General features: G+C 49.4%; 1 protein-coding gene and 1 long non-coding RNA gene across 44 annotated transcripts in view, besides 4 other annotated features; one reads left to right on the forward strand and one right to left on the reverse strand.

The window, feature by feature from the left end:
- The window catches only part of GSN (gelsolin), a 131,360-nt gene that overhangs the window by 66,074 nt on the left and 45,485 nt on the right, over window positions 1-19,801 (forward strand). For 8 of the 43 annotated variants that reach the window (NM_001353076.2, NM_001127666.2, NM_001127667.2 and 5 more), the window contains exons 1-2: window positions 606-663; window positions 13,914-14,006. Coding sequence is in view for 7 of the 43 variants with exons in the window: in XM_047423265.1 (XP_047279221.1) it covers window positions 14,896-14,994 (99 nt within the window). In the remaining 36 variants the exon portion in view is untranslated. Of the gene's footprint in view, window positions 1-605; window positions 664-2,368; window positions 2,501-4,253; window positions 4,308-13,454; window positions 13,668-13,913; window positions 14,007-14,318; window positions 14,398-14,657; window positions 14,995-15,762; window positions 15,837-18,526; window positions 18,630-18,992; window positions 19,206-19,801 lie in introns of those variants that run through there. The other 35 variants (NM_001353054.1, NM_001353053.1, XM_047423267.1 and 32 more) reach the window with 17 other exon arrangements.
- Window positions 494-793: a silencer, noted in NCBI's record as "silent region_20233". NCBI's record gives its function as "represses an Ori minimal core promoter by ATAC-STARR-seq in GM12878 lymphoblastoid cells {active_cell/tissue: GM12878}" and the evidence as "EXISTENCE:reporter gene assay evidence [ECO:0000049][PMID:35858748]".
- Window positions 13,212-17,974, reverse strand: GSN-AS1 (GSN antisense RNA 1). Its single transcript, NR_103560.1, has one exon. It is a non-coding gene; the product is annotated as a GSN antisense RNA 1 (long non-coding RNA).
- Window positions 13,918-15,117: an enhancer, noted in NCBI's record as "CDK7 strongly-dependent group 2 enhancer chr9:124043752-124044951 (GRCh37/hg19 assembly coordinates)". NCBI's record gives its function as "activates an origin of replication core promoter dependent on BRD2, BRD4, P300/CBP, MED14 and CDK7 cofactors, with strong dependence on CDK7, by STARR-seq in HCT116 cells {active_cell/tissue: HCT116}" and the evidence as "EXISTENCE:reporter gene assay evidence [ECO:0000049][PMID:35650434]".
- Window positions 17,201-17,701: an enhancer, noted in NCBI's record as "H3K4me1 hESC enhancer chr9:124047035-124047535 (GRCh37/hg19 assembly coordinates)". NCBI's record gives its function as "activates a minimal SCP1, AML or CMV promoter by ChIP-STARR-seq in naive H9 embryonic stem cells {active_cell/tissue: H9 hESC(naive)}" and the evidence as "EXISTENCE:reporter gene assay evidence [ECO:0000049][PMID:30033119]".
- Window positions 18,516-19,715: an enhancer, noted in NCBI's record as "MED14-independent group 3 enhancer chr9:124048350-124049549 (GRCh37/hg19 assembly coordinates)". NCBI's record gives its function as "activates an origin of replication core promoter dependent on BRD2, BRD4, P300/CBP and CDK7 cofactors, and independent of MED14, by STARR-seq in HCT116 cells {active_cell/tissue: HCT116}" and the evidence as "EXISTENCE:reporter gene assay evidence [ECO:0000049][PMID:35650434]".

The raw sequence follows: 19,801 nt of genomic DNA on the forward strand, positions 1-19,801 counted from the left end.
GTCGATGTCTGGGGTTCCAAACCAGGCCTTCTGACTCCGAGGCGCCTGCTTAATGGTCCACTTTAAGGACCAGGGATGCACTTGGCATTTTCGTTACTTCATTCGGAATGAGCTGGGAATCGCTCTTCCTCCTTATTCCCTTCCGTGGGAGGGAATCTCCCCTGCTTTGCATGCAGCCTATGTCACTCTTCGAGGGCTTTGCCTCCTGAAGTCCGTTCTCTCCAGGGCTGAAATCTGCCTCCGCTGGTGCTAGTTGAGCATTGCTCGCTTGCCCGTCCCATCTGAGCTCTTTGGCCCCAGCCCAGCTCAGGAGCTGCCCTGGGTCTCCTCCCCGACCCTAGGCCTCTTCAGATCTCCCCTCCGTGCTCCGGGCCTCAGTTTCCTCCAGGGGAAAGCAGAGGGCTTGGTTTGGTGCCTTCCTGCGAGGTGAAGCGAGGGGTCCCCCTGGACGAAGGCGAGCTTGGAGCCACCCGCCCAGCAGCCGACGGGAGGGCCTGGCGCTCCTCCCCCACCCGCCTGCCCGGCCGCCCCGCCCCGAGGGCGGCTCCCGCCCGCGCCCTGCCCACCCCGGCCGCGCGCACCACAACGCCCCCGCCCCGCCGCCCGGAACCAGCTGAGCGCAGCTGGACCCAGCAGCCGCTGTCTCCAGTGCCGCAGCAGCAGGTAGGGGAGGCGCGCGGCCCCGGCCCCGGGCATCTGGGGGTCCCGGGCTGATTTGAGTCCTTCCTCTCCCTTCCTTCCCGGTCCTATCTCGCCCGCGCCTGGAGCTCGGCCCGGCCGCGGGGGCATCGCTGGAAAAGGGCTTCCTCGCTCACTTTTCCCGTCTTCCAAGGGACCAAAGAGTGTGGATGGGAGTTGGGGGATGGGGAGACGCCGGAGCAGGAGAGGAGAGGGGCCAGGCCTCCACCCCGTGATTCCACTGTGCTGCTAGCACCTGAGCTAATAACCTCGACCCCGCCCCCGGGATGGGGGAACTGGCCCGGGGTCACCCCTGCACTTGGGTTGTCTGACCCGGGCATGCAGGGGACCACCAGCTACGGTCTGGGCGGTGACTCTGCTGGGGAGTCCACTCAGAGGACCCTTGCCTCCTGGACGATACCTGTGCCTGCTCTCCTCTCCAGCTGCTTCCTCTTTCTGGGGACTGTTAGAAAGTTCTTCCTTACACTGTCTGAAATCTTCAGGCGCCTGCTACCTGTAGGTGCTGGCTTCTCCCCGGCCCTGCAGTGTTCCCTTCCCTGACTCACACGGAAGCTTCTTCTGGAGTTGAAGACAGTGATTGGAACCCCTTCTCCCTGAGCCCCCATGTCTTCTGGGGTCCAGCCCCCCAGAACCTAAATAACAGCAACTTCCCTCTGGTCCAGTGCAGGCTGGCTGGTCTGGGCAGTGCCCAGGGGGAAGCCCCAGTCCTTGGAAGGCTGGGGGCTGGGGGTGTGGGTGAGCAGGAGACATTGGCTTTCTTCCTAGCTCCTTGTCTGCCCAGACATCTGTCGCTTTATCCTGTCTTCACACCCTCCTCAGAGCATGGAAGGGAGCTTTAAAACACCCAGAACTCATTCTGGGCTGTCCTGAGGGTAATTGGACTTTGTGGAAGGCGGGGCCTCTGGGGAGGTGCCTTTCGCTTTTGTTTGGCATCTGGGGACTTTTCAAACACTTAATCCTGTGTGTCCTGTTCTCCCAGGACCACATTTCTGACCAGGGCACCAGGACCTCTCACCGCTCTGCCGTTTACAGCGACCATAGCTTGCTAGAATCTTACCCCATCTCCATTTCCTCCATTTCACAGTTGAGAAAAGTCAAGGACCCAGAGAGTTTATGATGGGCTAATTGTCACACAGTGAGGCAGGGTAGGGCTGAGACCCAATTCCGGTCTGCCGTTTGCGGACTCCTTGCTGGGAGGGACTCTAGCCTCCTTCTTGGGTGTTCCGTTTACTAAAGGGACAAGCATTCCCTGTACATACACACTTGGGGGTGCTGGTTGGTGTTTCTTGGGGCTGTTAAGGGGGAGAGGCTTGGAAACAGAGGAGGAAGGATGGGGGTGGGAACGGTCGGCTTTCAGCTCCTTTGAAACTCCATTTTTCTTTCTGGGGCCATGCTATTTATAAATGCCAGGGAAATTGTAAACAGCCAGGGGAGCTTGGGTTGGCACTCGGTGAGTTACACAGCAGCAAAGAAGGTTTCTGTGTGAATCAGGGGAGGAAAGTTTACTCCAGAATTTTCCACAGTCCTTTTATTAGGGACTAACATGAGCCTGGAAACAGGCTGCTCCCAGGAGGGGTGGCTGCAGGGTTTGCCCCGCATGGCATTTCCTTCCTCCCCGCCTCCCTCCTTTCAGCACTTCTCTGGGCCTGTGTTCTGTGCCTTGCCCTGCGAGGGGCCAAAGAGCCTTGGAAGAGGACAGAGCTCTCTGTCCTCAAGATGCTTGCCATCTATACTGTTTGACACTTTTGTGCCATATTAAGAGTGACTTCAGCCTGCAAGAGGAGTGACTAATTTTGTCTAGGTGAGCCAGACCTCAGAATGAATAATCATTTACCAGGAGAAACAGGAGTTGGGGGAAAAGACATTCTGGGAAGCAGGAACCACTAGTGCAAAGGCACTGAGATTTTCTGAGCCATCCATGTGGCTAGAGTGGAGGATGGGAGAAGGGCGGGGTGGTGGGAGGTTGAGAATCTAAATGAAAATGGAACTAGATTATAAGCTAAGGGTTTGGACCTCATCCTGAAGGCAATGAAGAGCTGAGAAAGGGTTTTGACAGAGCAGTGATTTTTAAAAACTCGTTATTCTGAATGGCTGATGTAGGGGATGCATTGAACGAGGCTGATCTGGAGGCAGGAAGGCCCTGAGGAGGCTGTTGCATGATTCAAGTGAAGTAGATTGCAGGTCTGAACTAGAGCAGTGGCCACTGGGATGGGTCAGAGCAGCAGATTCTGGAAGCCCAGCTGAAGGTCTCAGAACCTGCTATAAATTTCATCTAAAAGCAGACAACAGGCTAGACCTACTGGAGAAGGTTGCTAAGGTATTCAGCATTGTAACTTTTTTTTCTTTTTCATGAGTTTTAAAACAAACAAAAATTGTTAAAGAATCCCTCCAAGCCCGCCTCTTTCCCCAGAGGTCGCCACTGTTAACAATGGTGTGTGCACTCCTGCCAAACACGTTGATTGGATGCCTTCACTTTTAGCCATCCAGTGACAGTGGGTCACTTTCCCCTACTCCATGTGAATAGTTTGGGTCATTTGTGATGTGGGTCATAGAGATGATTTCTGCTTGGTCTATGGTACGTTGCTGAGACACTGAGCTCTGGTTTTCTTTAAGAAAACTTTTACATCCTGTGTCTGCGGCCTCTGGGTGTGTATATTTGCTTATCAGAGACCACAGGTGTGAGAGAAGTTAGAAGCACTGACTTGGAAATGGACCCCCAGTCTTGGTTCTTTGGGTGACCTTGGGCAAATCCTATCTCTCTGAGCCTCTGGTTCCTCATGTGTAAAATGGAGAGATGTTGGTTTGCATGATAATAATAAAAAGCTATCTTTTAACTGGGCATGGTGGCTCACACCTGCAGTTCCAGCATTTTGGGAGGCCGAGTTGGGTTGATGGCTTAAGCCAGGAGTTTGAGACCAGCCTGGTCAACATGGTGAAACCCTGTCTCTACTGAAAATACGTGCTGGGATGCTCCTGTAATCCTAGCTACTTGGGAGGCTGAGGTATGAGAATTGCTTAAACCCTGGAGACGGAGGTTACAGTAAGCTGAAATCACGCCACTGCACTCCAGCCTGGATGACAGAACAATACTGTCTCAAAACAAAAAAAGAAAAGACAAAAAAAGCTATCTTTTAATATACCAAGCACTGGAACATTAATTACTTTATTGATTCCTTGCAACCATTCCTCTGAGGTAGATACTAGTATCTTCTTTTACAGATGAGGAAACTGAGTCCGAGGCTGAATAACATGCCCCGGGTTGTGTGGCTATTGGGTGATGGTGCAAGGATTCCAGAGGTCTGACGACAGAGCCATAGCTATTAATGACAGCACTAAACATTCTCTTGAAAATTCTTTCTAGTCCTGGTATTAGGAGAACTGGTAAGGGAGTTTGTTATGCTTTTATGAGGGGTGGGTGTCGGTGTGCAGAGCTTGGAGAGCTCAGCCCTGCAGCAGAGAGGCCTGGAGGGGCCTCCCGGGGCTGTTTGTAAACTCATGCTTTCCTGTGCCATCCGCAGGACCCTCAGTGCAGGTCAATCTCCCCTCCATTTCAGGGAATCCAGGCTCCAAAAGGACACAGGACTTGCCCAGCAAGGTCATGTGGTGAGGTGAGAGCCCAGCCAGGACTGGTCCCCCCTTTTCATCAATCAAGCTTATGCTCTGGAAATCTATCTGGCGAAGCCAGGAAAACTGGACACTCTCCTGCTCCTTGGTTATTCCCTGAGAAAATGCCAGCAGAAGCAGAGAAAAGCACGTCCCAGGGGTTATGCATTTTGGGGAGGAAGGGAAAAAAAGAGACCAGTGTTTAGGCAGCCGGGGGATGTTAAGTAAAAATATCTCCTCGCTTTCAACGGAGTGAGCGTGTGTCATATTTCAGCCTGATGTGGTTTGTGAAGTTGGAGACCACAGGCAGGCTCAGTTCCTGCTGCTGGCCAGCTTCCCCTTCCCTCTGTCCCTCCCCTGCCATATGCCTGCTCTCGTCTGCCCTGCCTGGGACCACATCAGCAATTTAAGAATAGGGCAGAGAAAAGCAGTGGGTGTTGTGGGCAAGGGTAGGCAGCTGAAGGCCTGGGCTTGGGTCCTGGCTTTGCCAGTGACAAAGTACTGGGTGACTTGGGCTAATGCATGCCTTTCTCTGGGCCCCAGTGTCCATTCTGCACTGTAGGGTGGACAGCATAATGTCAGCCTTCCCAGCTCTGATGGCCTCTGAGTTGGAGGGCTTTGTGCTCCCCACATGTACTTGGGTCCGGCATGTCTGAGACACAAAGTGAGCCCGCAGTGGTGCAACTGGTGATTCAGCTACTGTTCTTGAATTTAATCTTTTCGGACTGAATTGATTGCCCCATTTTGCAGATAAGGGAGTTGAGGCCTAGGATTTGTTGATGTATCCCATTCCCTGCTCTACAAGCAACAATAATAAGGGCCACCATATGTAACACACTTACTATGTATGTTCACCTTTTGCTTTCACTATCTGCTTTAATCTTTTAACAGATCTACGAGGGGAGAGATAGTGACTCCATTTTACAGATGAGGAAACTGAGGCTCAGTTTAGAAAAATGAAAGGACTTACGTTCTCTTCTTTGAGTCTCACAATAGTCCTGGGGTTGTCATTATGTGACCCATTTTACCAGTGAGGAAACTCAGGCCTGGAGACGTGAGCTCCTTTGCCCAGGGGTCCCCAGGGCCCACACACAGCCTGTCAGGTTCCTTCCCAGGCCCTCCTGCTCCTCCCTCCTCCCTTGCTTGCTCTGCCTCATGGGGAGCCTCTTCACCTCTTGCATTCAGTGCCTGGGTTAAGGGATGAGAACAGTTTTCTTCCTGGGCTATAAAGTATCCCTGAAATTGACTCTTCCCAAGAGTGATCCAGAAAGGCTTTAAGCCATGGAGCCTCGCAGGGAACTCCAGTGAAGGGGTCGCACCAGTGGGAGTGGATTCGTTTATTCTGCTGAGCTGGCTAAGCAAACAGTCCTGTTATTTTCCAACCTCAATAAGAATATCATCAGAGCCAAGCTTATTTGCCAAGCAAAGTATATATATTCTACATATGTGAGCCTTCAGGGTGGGGCTTGGCCCTTAATTTCCCTGCTACAGAGACTGTGGCTGAGCTGGGTTTTGGTGGGTACTAAGTAAATACTAGTTAACTTGTTGGGTGTGTGTTGATGATGTGGGTGGCATATGTACTTTTTTCTCCCCACCTCCAAGGACCTTTTCCCCCCACCCTTATTATTTCTATTACACTTGTGATAGAAAATTTAGGAAATAAAAAAGTATATATATAAAAAAGAAGTGTTCATAACTAACCAGAGAAAATCACTGCCAACACCTGGGTGCCCTTCCTTCCTGATATTTTCAGTGCATTTTTTTTTACCCCCACACAATTATCCTATATTTATAATTGTCTGTTCTGACTTTCTGTTTTTTCTCAACATTATATCGTAAGTATTTTTCTCATGTTATTAAGGATTCTTTTTAAATTTAATTTTTAAAAGTTTTAAAAGCATACTATACCTAAGTAGATAAATGTTTATTCTAATTTAAATCTTTTATTCCAATAGTCCTAGGGATTAAAAAATGAAATAATGCTTTTTATTTATTAACAAAAAGGCTGAGAGAAACAGGATTTGCCCAAGATCACCCCCAAAGAACCAAGACTGGGGCTCCCCAGGGCTGTAGTTTGCATCCATAAATACAGAGAGAATAATGTTTATAATCTTGGGTATAAAAACTTCTGGTGAAAAGGTTGATCAAATGCTAGCTGTATTTCTCCCCCTTCCATGGCTTTCTACTGAGTCTCTCTCTCCTACAGGACCCTACTTTGCTCCATAATTAAGCAGCAAAGTATTTCAAGAGCTGTTCAGATTCTAGAAACTCATAGCAGATGAAATCGACAGATAAGTCAGATATCGAATATAGACATTAAAAGATCTGGGCACTAGGCTGTACCCTGTTATTGTCAGTGGCTCTTTAGTCCTTAAACAAGGGTCTTGCCTCCTACTTTTTTTTTGTTATGGTAGAAATAAATGCCCACCCGAGTTTTCATCACTCACTATTATTCTATCTTTGGTGTGCCTGTACCATGTTCCCTTAACAATCCTCAATTATGAAACATTTAGGCAGTTTATAAACAATACTGCAATGAACAACCTAGTGCATACTTTTTTTGTGTGTTCTTCTTTTATTATTTCCTAGAAGTGAGCCCTAGAAATGGAGTTCCTGAGTCAAAATGACACATTTTATAGCTTTTTCTTGTTAAAAAAAAAATTCAGTGACACTTGTGAAAACACGGTAAGGAAGTCTTTATTCAGGAACATTGCCTTGGGCATAGGGACCACTGCAACAGGGTCCTACAGTGAGGGAGAGAGTTTGGGCTCAACTCCTAATACAGCATGGGCGAGTGGGAATTGATAGCTGCAGAGCAGGGTAGGGGTCAGCGGATGGAAAATTACTAAGAGGAAGCTCAGGAATAAGGGATATTCTTGCTAAACCGACCTAACAAAATTATTGATGAAGACAAACCAGGGTGATTCAAACATCAGTGGGGGCATGGTGGAGGATGAGGAGCCTGATCAGATATCAAGGATGAGGGGTTCTGGCTAAACAGACTTAGCAGGATTCTTTTGCTAAAACTGGATTTTACAAGGAAGTGCACAGGTAGGCCTAGGAGAAGGTTCAGAAGCCTGGCTAAAGTTTGGCCAAGCAAATAATCTGTGTCATGCTAAATTTTGCCAAATTTCTGCTCATAAAGGTTACAGTAGTCCTTATTCCTACCAGCCATCCGTGAGAATGGCAGCATTCTTCAGGAGCATCTGAAGCTGGTTATAAAAAGCTCAGCTGTCCTTTTATAGAATAGAGTACAGCGACCATTTTCCTGAAACGTTACATTTCATTCATTCATTTGGCAAATACACTTGCACAATTCAGCAGCAATAAAGCATAACAAGTTAAGATCCCAGGCCGAAGAAGTGGAGAGAACTTGGTTCTCCTTCTGGTTTATGTTTTGCACTTGCCCTAAGACCTTGAGGACATCACCTCACTGAGTTTCATTTTTCTCAGCTATACAGTTAGGGCTTCAATACCCACTTCACAGAATTCTACAAAGTACCTAACACAATGCTTGGCCAGTGCAATCATGTGGATGCTGGGAATTTGTATTATCTCATCTGACTCCAAAGAGCCCTGGAAAGGAAGCAGGTAGGGACAGATCCTTCCCATTTCATGGACTCAGAGAAGAAACGGCCATGTTTCTTGGTGTCCTGAGCTTCACTTCAGGAACTGGTAGTCCAAAGGAACTGTATCGTTCAGAACGGAGGTAAAACAGGCTTTTGTGGGCTAGCCTGTATCCATCCCCCTCCCACCTCCCCTCCCACCACAGTACCTGTTTCTCTTGGAAGGCAAGTTCCCAGTTCCAGTGGCAGCCAGAATTCTTTCTATGCTCTTTTAGAAGGTGGGAGATGCCTGCCTAGACTGTTCAGTGGTCTTAAAAAAGAGACCATAAAATTCATGGTTGCATAAAATATAGTTTTCATAGATTTAAATTGCATTTTAAATGCACTAAGGCTTCATCTTTGAGCTTTTCAGAAATGTGGGATTTCAGACTCCATCTTTAGGGTTGCCTTATTTAGCAAATAAAAAACAGTGTGCCAGTTAAGCATGAGTATGGCCCTTGGAATGTTTGGGGCATAATTATACCAAGACATCTTATTGTCTTTCTGACATTTAGATTTAACTGGGCATCTCATGTTTTATCTGGCAACCCTACCCACCTTGGGTCTACTGAATCCAAATCTGGATTTTCACAAGATCCCCATGGAATTCGTGTGCGAATTCAAGTGTGAGAAGCATTGCATTGGGAGCCTTGCCATCAAAGCCCTGAATGAATCCTTTTTGTAACAAATCTGTTGGTAAAATATAATGCACTATTTATAAAGAGCCTGATTATTCCCAAATCAACCATTTGCACACATCTGTGTGTTCATGTGTTAGGTTTTCTTAATACAGGCTACCCTTGCACTGTTGTCAGTTGAAGGGAAGAATTCCTTGCTTTGGTAAGAAGCCCTAGCCCCTCTCAAGGACCTATTTTCCTCATCTGTAAAATGGGCTACATCCTTAGCATCCGTGCCAGCCTGTGGTGACCAGCTGAGGTGGCCCCAAGGGGATGCATGGCTAGAGCCCACGCCAGGTCCCTCCTCAGCCTCCTCACAAAGGACCGAATGACTTGGCTCTGTGATCCCATCCCCCAGAGACTTTGGTGTGACTGTGGTGACCCTTGGCATAGCGCACCCCCCCGACTGCCTCCTCATCTCAAAACTTTCCAAACCATGACTTTTATAGCAGGGCTTTAGGAATCGCCTGGCTCTACCCTCTCACTTCATGGCTACAGATACTTGTGCCCTGAGAGAGCAAGTGAATTTCCCAAAGCCAACAGCAAGCCCTCTGATTGCTGCTCTACCAAACCAAAATGATTTCAGTTCTCATGAAACCTAAGGCCTGACTAAGGAAGATTAAGAAACCTGGTGGTGGTCGGGTCCTGTAGTGGGGTGGGAGGAGGGGGGAGGGATAGTATTAGGAGATATACCTAATGTAAATGACGAGTTAATGAGTGCAGCACACCAACATGGCACATGTATACATATGTAACAAACCTGCAGGTTGTGCACATGTACCCTAGAACTTAAAGTATAATAAAAAAAAAAGAAAGAAAGAAACCTGGTGGTGGTCATACGCCTAGTTTGTCTTGGTTGTGTGGTCTTGGGTAAGTCATTTCTCTCTCTAACCTATTCCCTGCCCCCACCCCTCCATAATATGGGGAATACACATTTTCCTGTTCCCCTAGGTCTCCTTTCTACCTGGTTAAGGTTTTATTTTAAGATCCAGTGGTAGATCTTGGTCTGTCAATTGGTCCTAGAGTGGAATGCTTTATGAAATCACTGGTACATGTGTTAGGTCAGAGACTTAATACCATGACATCATGAAAGATGTCTTTAGACCCTTTCTCTCCTCATTGCTAACAAAGATTTTATGAACTGTGTTTCAGCTGGACAAAAAAGATGTTCTAGAGCATTCTAAGATCGCCTGGGGCTTTTGTTAAAATGCAGATTCTGGTTCCACAAGTCTGGGGTGGGGCCTGAGGCTCTGCATTTCTAGTGATGCTGATGTAGCTGGTCCAGGGATCACACTTTCAGTTGCAAGATTTGAAAACAATCTGTTATTAGTGTAGAATCAATACTTATGAGATAAGGGACTTAAGAGGCAAGTCCCTTGTTCAGGGCTAAAGACCCAGTGACAGTAATAGGGTCTAGCCTGGAGCCCAGATCTTTTAATGTCTTGTCTTTGACATCTGACTTATCTGTCTATTTTATCTGCAGCTATGAGTTTCTAGAATCTGAACAGCCCTTAAAATACTTTGCTGCTTAATTATGTAGCAAAGTAGGTTCTTCTTTAGGAAAGAGAGTGACTCAGTAGAAAGCCATTGGAAGGGGGAGAAATACAGCTAGCATTTGATCAACCCTTTCACCAGAAGTTTTTATACTTGAGATTATAAACATTCTTTCTGTATTTATGGATGCAAACTACAGTCCTGGGGAGGCCCCAGTCTGTTTTTGTATGCCTCTGAGCTAAGAATGGTTTTATAGTTTTAAAGTGTTGTTAAAAAACAACAATAACAAACAAACAAGGAAGAATATGCAACAGAGAGGGTGTGTAGCCTATGGAGCCTAAAATATTTACGGTCTGGCCCTTTTACAGAAAAAGTTTGCTGACCCATGATCTAGAGTACCCAAAGATTTGCATGTTCTTTTTTTTTTTTTTCTAGTCAGCAAGAGGCCCAGCCTTATAGCTTTGAAATATAGTGAGGTCAAGACGTAGGGGAGGCAGCCTGCGTTGGTGGGAACTGCCCAGACATCTTAGCTGTGTGACCCTGAGCACATTACTTCACCTCTCTGAGCTTGTGTCCTAGCTTCACAAAATGAGGACAAAGATTGCTGCCTGGTAGAGTTATTGCAATGATGAGACATGCCTGTAGAGTTTAACGCTTGGAAGGTGCACAGAAAATGATAACTATTGTTATTAGGGGTGGCCATTTGAACGCTTATGGCATTAATGGACAGATATCATGTTACTCCCATCAGGTCTGAAGGCCCTCCCAATGAACTGGGAGCAGTCTTTTAGGAGAGAAAAATACTCTGCTCCAGTATCCCCCCATCCCACCTCCAGAGCAGAAAGCTCCTTTTTAGCCAGCTAGACAGACAGGGTTCCATGGTGGCTTGCAGACTTTCATCGGGCGAGCTCTCTCCCCAAAGACTGGCCTTTCCACAGCTGAGACTATTAGAAGGCGTCTTCTGTTCCTATGTCCTAGGATGTGATTCAGCAAACAGGCACGTAGTGAGAGCCCCAGGCTGGGATTGTGAGTGCTGGAATGAAACCCTTCTCTTTATGGCTCCATCTGGAGTGTGTGGGTGGTGGACTAGAATCAGTGGTTTTGCTGACCTTGTTTTTAAGCTGCTGCAGCCTTAAGGTCCAAAATGGAAAACAGACCAACTTGGAGTTAGCTGGGGCTAATTCTAAACCTGGCTGAGTTTGAAAACTCAGCTCCTGGGGTGTGTCTGAATCTCAGGGAGAGTGTAATGCTTTTCTTGCCCATAGATGGCAGCATCTGCACTCTTTGCCGGCTCTGTGAATGTGTGTGTGCACGTGCACGTATGTGTTACACACGTGTGCACGCATGGGAGTCATAGTTTCTTACTTTGGTAAATCTTGAGCTGCGGTGGTCCCAGCCCTAGGCCAGGCTCTGGGATACATGGGAGCAATTGGGGAGGCTGACTTGCAAATAGACTATTACAGTAGAGTGTGACCGGGCAGATTAGGGGGTGTGGAGGTCTGTACGGAGACTACACGGAGGACTCAGGAACAGAGTGCCATTGCATCTGGCTGGAGCCTGGTGGGGTATAGTGGAAGACAGGAAGCCATGAGGGCCAAGGCTCAAGGAGTTGAAGGGGACAGGTCATGAAGAATGTGGAGAGATTTGTTAAGGATCTTGGACTTTATCTGGGGCCATAGTGGAGCCATGGTAGGTCTGGGCAGAGGAGTGGCATGGTCTGGGCTTGCTCTAAGGAGGATGCATTGTAGGAGGGAGAGGTTGCAGGAGGATCAGTTAGGAAGGTTCTGCAGTCATGCAGGCAAGAGGTGATGGGGCTATGGACCCAGATGTTGGCATTGGGGTGGGGAGAAGGGGGGACACTCTGGATGCAGTCAGGGGTTGAACTAGCAAGACATGGTGATACACTGGAGGGGAGAGTGACAGAGCAAAAGGGGTGAGTGGTGTGTTGAGGAGGGTGAGGGCCTGGTGTCTGGACTGGTCCACCGGGTGGATGGTGGATGGTGGATGGTAGTGCTGTTTGCCGAGATGAGGTGCAGTAGGGGAGGAGCACATTGTACTTGGGAACAAATGCAGCACCACCATGTGCATCTGAGGATGAGAGTGCAATTTGGGGTGTGTAGAAAGAAGGGGGGCTGGATTCGAAAGGCTCATCCTCACACAGAGTTGACAGAGTGCGGGAGGTCATTAGTCATTTGCAGAAACAACAGAACCCAACTCTGCTTTGGTCTGTCCCTTGGAACCAGGAAGTTTCTGCCATAGTCTTTGAGAAAGACCCACAGAGGTGGGCACCAGGTCCTGCAGCCCAGATAAGTGTCTGGCCTCTGACCTCTCTGGTTTTGGGTACCGTGACTCCACTTCCGTGGCTGTGTCCCGTGTCAGTCACAATGCACAAGTCATCAGGACTGTCTGAACCATTTACTGTCAGCCTGAGAACAGGGCTTGTTTGTGTCTTAATCCCAGGAGCCTGCACGGCCCTGCCATCTTCGGGATCTTGGACTCTCCCCTCGGCTTAGGGAAGCTGGTTTAGGCAGAGAAATTTTCCAGTGTGGGCAGGAGCCAGTTTGCTCAGCTTCCCTCTGAATGTAGATGACTGGAATTCTTAGTGGCGAAGAACGGTGAAGATCCAAGTTGTCCCTGAGAGGCGGGAGGACTGAGCTGCATACTCCACGATGAGCTGATGTGGGATGGTCCTTCATCCACTCATCTAGCATATGTCCACTGGCACTGCCATTTGCAGGGCACATGCCATGCTGAAGCTTTAGAGGTGAAGCAGACAGAATCCTTGCCTCCAAGGAGCTTACAGCCTAGAGGGAGAGAAAGTCCTATCACCAGACACTGATAATGCAGTCTTGCTCAGCAGTAGTGCATTAGAACAATAATAGACTGATGCTGAGGTACAGAGCTGCGAATATGACATATCAACAGGGTGGGTCCCCAAATCGCACATGTGCAGGATGAGAAAGATACAATTTGCAGGCAAAAGACTTAGAAATTTAATTATTAATAATCAGGGTAATAATTAGAGTAAACACATGCCTTGTGCAAAACCCTGAACATGTTTTATCTCATGGTAGGTTCTAATATTATCCCTCTTTGAACAGCAAAGGCAACTGAGACTCCGAGAAGTGATGTAGCTTGCTCAAGTTACACAGTTAAGTGAGGGCCCAGTTTATATAACTTCAGAGTACTAACGTACAGCTCTGAAGTTGACTGTAAACTGAATTCAGCCATGCAATAGGGCTGCCTTAAATGCAAATGGGATTTTAGGCTCAATTAATAGAAGCATGATATCTCTAATGAAGGAGGTGAGAGTCCTGCTTGCCCTGTCCTGGATAGAGCTTGACTGATTGTCTAATTCTGGGTCTTGTGCTGTCAGTAGGGACAGGTTTCATCTGGAGCAGATCAGGGAACAGGGTGAGCGAACCGGAAACCCTGGTCTCAGGAAGAGCTGGAGGAAAGGGGGTGCACAATTTGTAGAAGACTTGAGGGGCCCAGGATCACTGTCTTCAAATCTCCAAAGAGCCATCAGGAAAGAGGGGGACAGACCTGTTCTGGCTGACCCAAAAGGAGGCAGAGCTAATACCAGCAGGTACAAGGCATAAGAAGAGAGAGATTTTAGTGCATCCTTAGGACAATTCTTTTACGCAGCCAAACCCTCCAGCAGCAGGTCTTGCAGCCTTGGCAGGTAGTGAGTGCGGTGTTGCTGGATGTGTGCAAGTACTGATTGTGTGACCCCTGGTGGAGGGGAGGAAAGGGGTTGAAACATCAAATGGGGATTTGACCAGATGACCTTGAACTCCCCCTGAGGCTGACATTCTGTGCCCTTTGTTTACAGGTAGTGCTCATAGCTCTCTTTGTCCAGTGCTTCGGCCTTGGTCCCAGCGCCTTCCCACGGAGCAGCACTCTTCACCCTGCACAGCCTTGTTAGGTAGGTAGAGCAATACAGACACCTGTCGTCCTCTTAAACCCCGCCCTGGCTGCCCAGGGAAGCCTGGAGGGGACTTCAGTGGTGGAAGCAGCCGCTGTAGCCACAGTGGATTCAGTGGGAGTCCCTGAGGTCTTCCTAATAAGGCTCAGAGTGCGTCTCTGCTCCTTTCCTGTCCTTGAGAGGGAGGTCAGGCGAGAGTGATCTTGTAGGGAGGAGGCCGGGACTGGGCTCGGTGCCCGGATGCCTGGCTCCCACCCTGGCTGTGCTGGTTGCTTGCTATGTGACTTTAGGAGAGTTGCTTTCCCTCTCAAGGCCTTGGTTGCTATTCTGTAGAAGAGCAGAGTCCCCATAAAGAGGAGGTGCAGGAATTCTTCCCAGAGGCTTTGGAGAGGTGAGAAAAATGGGGGTCCATTTGCCAAGTCTCTGGACTTGTTGACCAGAGGAGGAGCACCTGAGGTGTGTGAGTCATGGGGAAGCGGATGAGTCATGCCCGCTGGGGCCAGCTGGCAGGGTGGGGCCCACCTGACTATCAGATTCACAGGTGACCTGCTGAAGTAGGTGGGGAGGTGGGGGGAGGAGTGCAGAGTCCTGGGCTGGAAGCCAGGAGACTGGCTCACCTCCCAGCTTCAGCCTCGGTTTCTCCACCTGTAGGATGGGTGCCTTGGTCTCCCCCTACCCACCTAACAAAGCTGCTGTGTGGACCCAACGAGCTTGTAGATGCCAAAGGGCTTTGTGACCAGTGAGACAGGAAGGATCACTACTAGGGGGAATCGCCCAGCTTCCAACACCCAAACAGAAGTGAATTTCTAATGAGCAATTGTGCAAGAACCCAGGAAAACACCCCTCCAACCCACGCCATCCCTTTTCTGCCAAAAGGAGAAGGGGATGAATGAATACAGGACTTACGCGTCTGCTGTGGCCCAGCTGGCTTCCAGATGGTGACATGAGCCACCCACAGCCGGAGCTGTTCCTCTTTCCCAAAGCTCAGGTGAAAGGGCTTTTTGGTGGTCCCCAGGATGTTGTGCCCCAAAAGCCAGGGATTCCCAAAAGGTCTGCCGGGCCCAGAAAGCTGACTCACCCCATCAGCGGCTATCCAAAGGTTCTGCTGACAAAGAGGTAGCCCTAGTGCTGCCCTAATAGGAGGACTTGAGGGCCGGGTCTTGGCTCTGATGCATCTGCCTTTGAGACTGAGCCCTGATAACTCCAAAAGCCAAGTTGCCTCAATGTAATCTGTCAACAAAAAGAATGTTATGCTCTGTTGATGCTTTTGGTGACTATGACACAGGGGCCCTGTCTTCCGCAGACCCTGCAGGGCCAGGCTGGCATAGACCCAGCTGAGCAACCGTCGCCTGAGAGCTTTGCTTATTCATCCCTCTTTACTCCTCTGCCCCCTGCAATGTACCAGCCCTGTGCCCACCTCCACGGAACCTTGGTTCAATCAGGGAGGCCCCAGTGACCTCCTCGATGTCCAATCCAGTGCTCTTTCCTCAGGACTCCATGTGCCAGTCTCTAGTGCAGTTCCAGAAACTCCCTCCTTTTGCTTCTGGGAGGCTGCACTGTCTGGTTTATTTCCTCTTCTCTTTTTAGTTAGGGCCCTGTTTTTCCTCCTGACTTTTTTAGTTAGGGCCCTGGTTTTTTCAGTTAGGGCCCCTCCTCTCTTTTTAGTTAGGGCCCTGTTTTTCCTCCTGTCTTTTTTAGTTAGGGCCCTGGTTTTCTTTTTCTTTCTTTCTTTCTTTTTCTTTTTTTTTTTTTTTAGACGGAGTCTTGCTGTGGTGCCCAGGCTGGAGTGCAGTGGCACGATCTCAGCTCACTGCAACCTCCTCCTCCCAGGTACAAGTGATTCTCCTGCCTCAGCCTCTTGAGTAGCTGGGACTACAGGCATGTGCCACCATACCCGGCTAATGTTTGTGTTTTTAGTAGAGACAGGGTTTTACCATGTTGGCCAGGCTGGTCTCAAAGTCCTGACCTCAAGTGATCTGCCTGCCTTGGCCTCCCAAAGTGCTGGGATTACAGGTGTGAGCCATGACGCCTGGCCCAGGGCCCTGCTTTTCCTGCCTCAGTGTTCCCTAGGATTCTGCCCACCTTCTTGTCTTGATTTATGTATATAGGTTCATTCATTCATTCATTCATTCATTCATTCATTCATATATTCATTCATTTGAGAGATATTTAGGCTCTGAGCTGGGTGTTGAAGAATCAGCAAAAAACAAGACTTTCCCATTCCTCATAGGTCTTCAGTAGATCATTATTTACACTGAAGATTAATTCTTGCTGTGAAGGAAACGATCAGGTTATGGGAGCGTTTGGGATTGGGTGGGAGTGGTGAGGTCTTATCTGGACAGATCAGGGAAGCCTCCCCTAAAAAGTGAGACCTGAAGAGGGAGAGGGAGGTGGCTGAGTGAGCAGGGAATGGAGGAGCCCCCTAGGCAGAGAGGCGACCTGGGTAAGGCTTTAGTGAGGGGGAGTCCTTGAGGAACTGAAAGAAGTGAGGGAGGCTGGCCAGGGAGGGGGGCGTGGCAAGAGGAGGGCCTGGGGGCCAGGCAGCACCTAGGTTATGTGGGCCCTTGAGTTTGGATTTTATGCTAGACCTCTGGGAACCATTGGAAGTTTTAAAGCAGGAGGGTGACTTGCCCAGATTTCATTATCAGAACCCTTGAAAGGGACAGACACAAGGACCATCCTGATAAGCCATGAGGGTGCAATTTTTGGTTCTTCCACATCAGGGTATCCTGATGCTGTGCCTTGGTACGGGGCTTGTCATTGGGCAGTCCTGGGAAATGTGCACTTTCCCAGGATTCTCTCAGCTCTTTGCATTTTTTAGTTTACCCGGCCAGTCCTTGCTAAGCTGCTGCAGTGGAGAGGGAGGTGAAGCAGACACCACCGGGCCCTCTGAGATCCACTCTAATCCAAGACGGAGACAGTGGAAGTTAACGCCCAGAGTGCTCTGTGATAAGTGCCAAGGGGCTCAGGGAGACAAAGAGTGCTTTTCCTTACTTGAGAGTCAAAGAAGGCTGAGAAGGGGGAGTTGGGCATTCCAGGCAAGAAGGCACCGTAGGCACAGGCTTGGCCGCTGGAAGAGCCCACTGCGCCTGGGGGCTAGTGAGCAGGAGTGTGAGGGTTGAGGTGGGGAGCTGGTTAGAGAGGTTTTGAATGCTGGGTTTCTATCCTCTGGGTACCAGGGAGCCATGGACAGGTCCTCAGCTGAGGAGTGACTTGATCCATGGGATTTCAGAACAATTAGTCCATGGCAGGCAGAGCGGAGGGTGGATCAGAGGACAGCAGCACTGGGAGCTGGTTGGAGAGAATGAGTACCATTGCTGAAGCCTTGTCACTCCCCCCACCGCACACACACAGCAACATCCTCAACGCCCCTTTCTGTTCCATACCTCTGTTCGGTTATCCCCGAATTGGCCGGCCAGCCTGAGCTGTCCAGAGCCCTTTCACAGCAGCACTGGGGTGTGTTAAACCCTGGGCTCCAGAGGCAAACAGGTCTGGGCCTGAAACATCACCGTAGCCCTGACTTGCTCTGTGCCCTTGGACAAGTCCCTTACTCTTCTCAGCCTCAGTTTCCACATCTGTGAAATGGGGGTGATAATGGAGTTGGTGATGATTAAACAATGGGGAAATCAAGTCCTTAGCACATGTCTGGTGTATAACGATGGCTGTGTTAGCTTTGTGTCCTTGTTGATTGTAATGGCCCAGTCCATGTTGTAATCTGCCCCTCAGGGAGTTCTTGTCTTTGGACATAAATCTGAATTCTCAACTAGAAACAAGATGTCCCCAGCAGCCCCAAAGGAAGCCTCTAGTGGGACACTGAGGGGATTGGACATGCTGTTACCCACTGGGACCCGGCACAGGGCTGGGCACACAGAAGCCTGGACTGGGTTTTATTTGTTCCTTTATCCCCAGCACTCAGCACAAGGCTGGTACAGCATGGCCAGGTGGCTGGGTTCTCAAAAATACTAAACAAAAAAATGAAATTAAAAAAAAATTATTAATCTTGGACATCATCCCCCAGCACCTTTATTTTACAGCTGAGGAATCTGGGGCCCAGAGAGGAACAGTGGCTCATCCAAGGCCACTCAGCTCCTCAGTGGCAGGCCCTGAACCTGTTCATTTCTCCCTGCTCACATGTTTATTACAATTCTAATTTTTGAAATCCTGGTAAGTTAAAAATGGCATCATGTCCCACCTCCCTAATTTACCTTTGGGGAAACTGGGGCCCAGAGAATGGTAGTGACTCCTTCAGGTCCTCAGAGAGGGAGAAGCAGGAAAAGGGCCTCCTCTCCACAAAGCATACCCCCACTAATCAGCAGTAGGCAGGCAGGTTCTTCCCCCCAAAATTGACGGCCTTGTGCTTAAGGAAGCAAAGTGGAGTGTGAACAATAGTTTCCTGAGGAAGTGTTGGGTTTTAATTGTGTTGAGGAGAAGAACCATTTCCGGAACTGTGTGTGCCTGTGATGCCTGCGGAGTTGGCTTGGCACAGCTATTTCCAGACTAATCCTGAGTCCTATTTATAGGCTGAGATGATTAGGTTGGCCTGTGTCAGGAGAGGCCCACATAGCTCCCCCCAGCCTCGCGATGGCCGAGGAAGAAGCCCTCAGGGGCAATTCTGACCCATGGGTGAGTAGCACGGGATCTGGGGTGGTCCCCGAAGCCAGCTCAGAGGAGGGACGCCAGGGAGACCCGAGGGAAAGTCCCGCTCCTGACTCCTAGTTCAACACCAGCCAGGCCCCCTGCAGAGATGAAACCAGTTCCAATTCTATTCTCTCCCTGCTTAAAAATCCTCAGTGTGTCCGGTCAGGCCAGGACTCCGTAGCAGTCAGACCCCTTCTCCCCGAGGTATCCACTGTCTCAACCCCAGCCATGCTTCTCCAAACTGTTTACGCTTCCTTGTGCAGGCCACACCCCCAAGCCTTTGCGTCTGTTGTTCCCACCTTCCCAAAAGGGAAACTCCATTTATCCTCCAAGGCTCTGCCCCAATGCCCCTCCTCCGTGGCTCTGTTGGGCCATGGGTGCTCCCTCCTTTGTGCTCCCAGGGCCCACAACTGCTTGAATGACTATTGGTGTTCCTGTTTGTGTGCCCTCTGGGCCGGGAAGTCAGAGAAAGAAAGGAGACAATTTGTGATTGAACAGCCACTGTGGCCATCATTCTCCTTACCTGTCTGATGAGAGCTGATCTTCATGCCACTGTGTACAGTAGGTATTTTTTAAAGGTGTGTAGAAGTGAGAGTCAGACTTCGGACTTCAGAGTCAGACAGCCCTGAATTCCTAATGGTGTAACCTTGGGCTGAACCTCTCTGAGCTTTTGTTCCTCCGTCTATAAAAGGAGACAATGCCAGCCATGGGTTTTGGGGAGGATTCAACAAGACAATGCTTATAAAGTACTTATCATCACAATGGGCTTCTATGAGCATAGGAGGTGTTATTTGCAGATGGGGACGTTCATTCCGGGGACGTCCCTATCTAGGGCCCCACACAAGGGAGTGGCTGAGACTCCAAGTCTTGGAGCCTCCGACTCCACCCTGTGTTCTCCCTCCCCTCCCTCTCTTGGCCCCCTGGGCCTATTCTCTTCCCCAGATCAGGGAAAGCTTTGTTTGGCGATTGTTTTTCCTAAGAAGTTTCCTCTGTGGGGCCTCTGGGTGACTCAGCCCTGAGTCACCGGGAGGCTGAGGACAGGGGGAGGAGTGGGAGGGAGGCGGAGGGAATGGAGAGACGAGAAGAGGAAAGGGCTCTAATTCTAGCCCTGGCTCTCCCACTGTTTGATCAACTAGGTCTGACCAGGCCCCTCTCCT

The sequence above is a fragment of the Homo sapiens genome, chromosome 9 (genome assembly GCF_000001405.40).
Source record: "Homo sapiens chromosome 9, GRCh38.p14 Primary Assembly".
Taxonomy (NCBI): domain Eukaryota; kingdom Metazoa; phylum Chordata; class Mammalia; order Primates; family Hominidae; genus Homo; species Homo sapiens.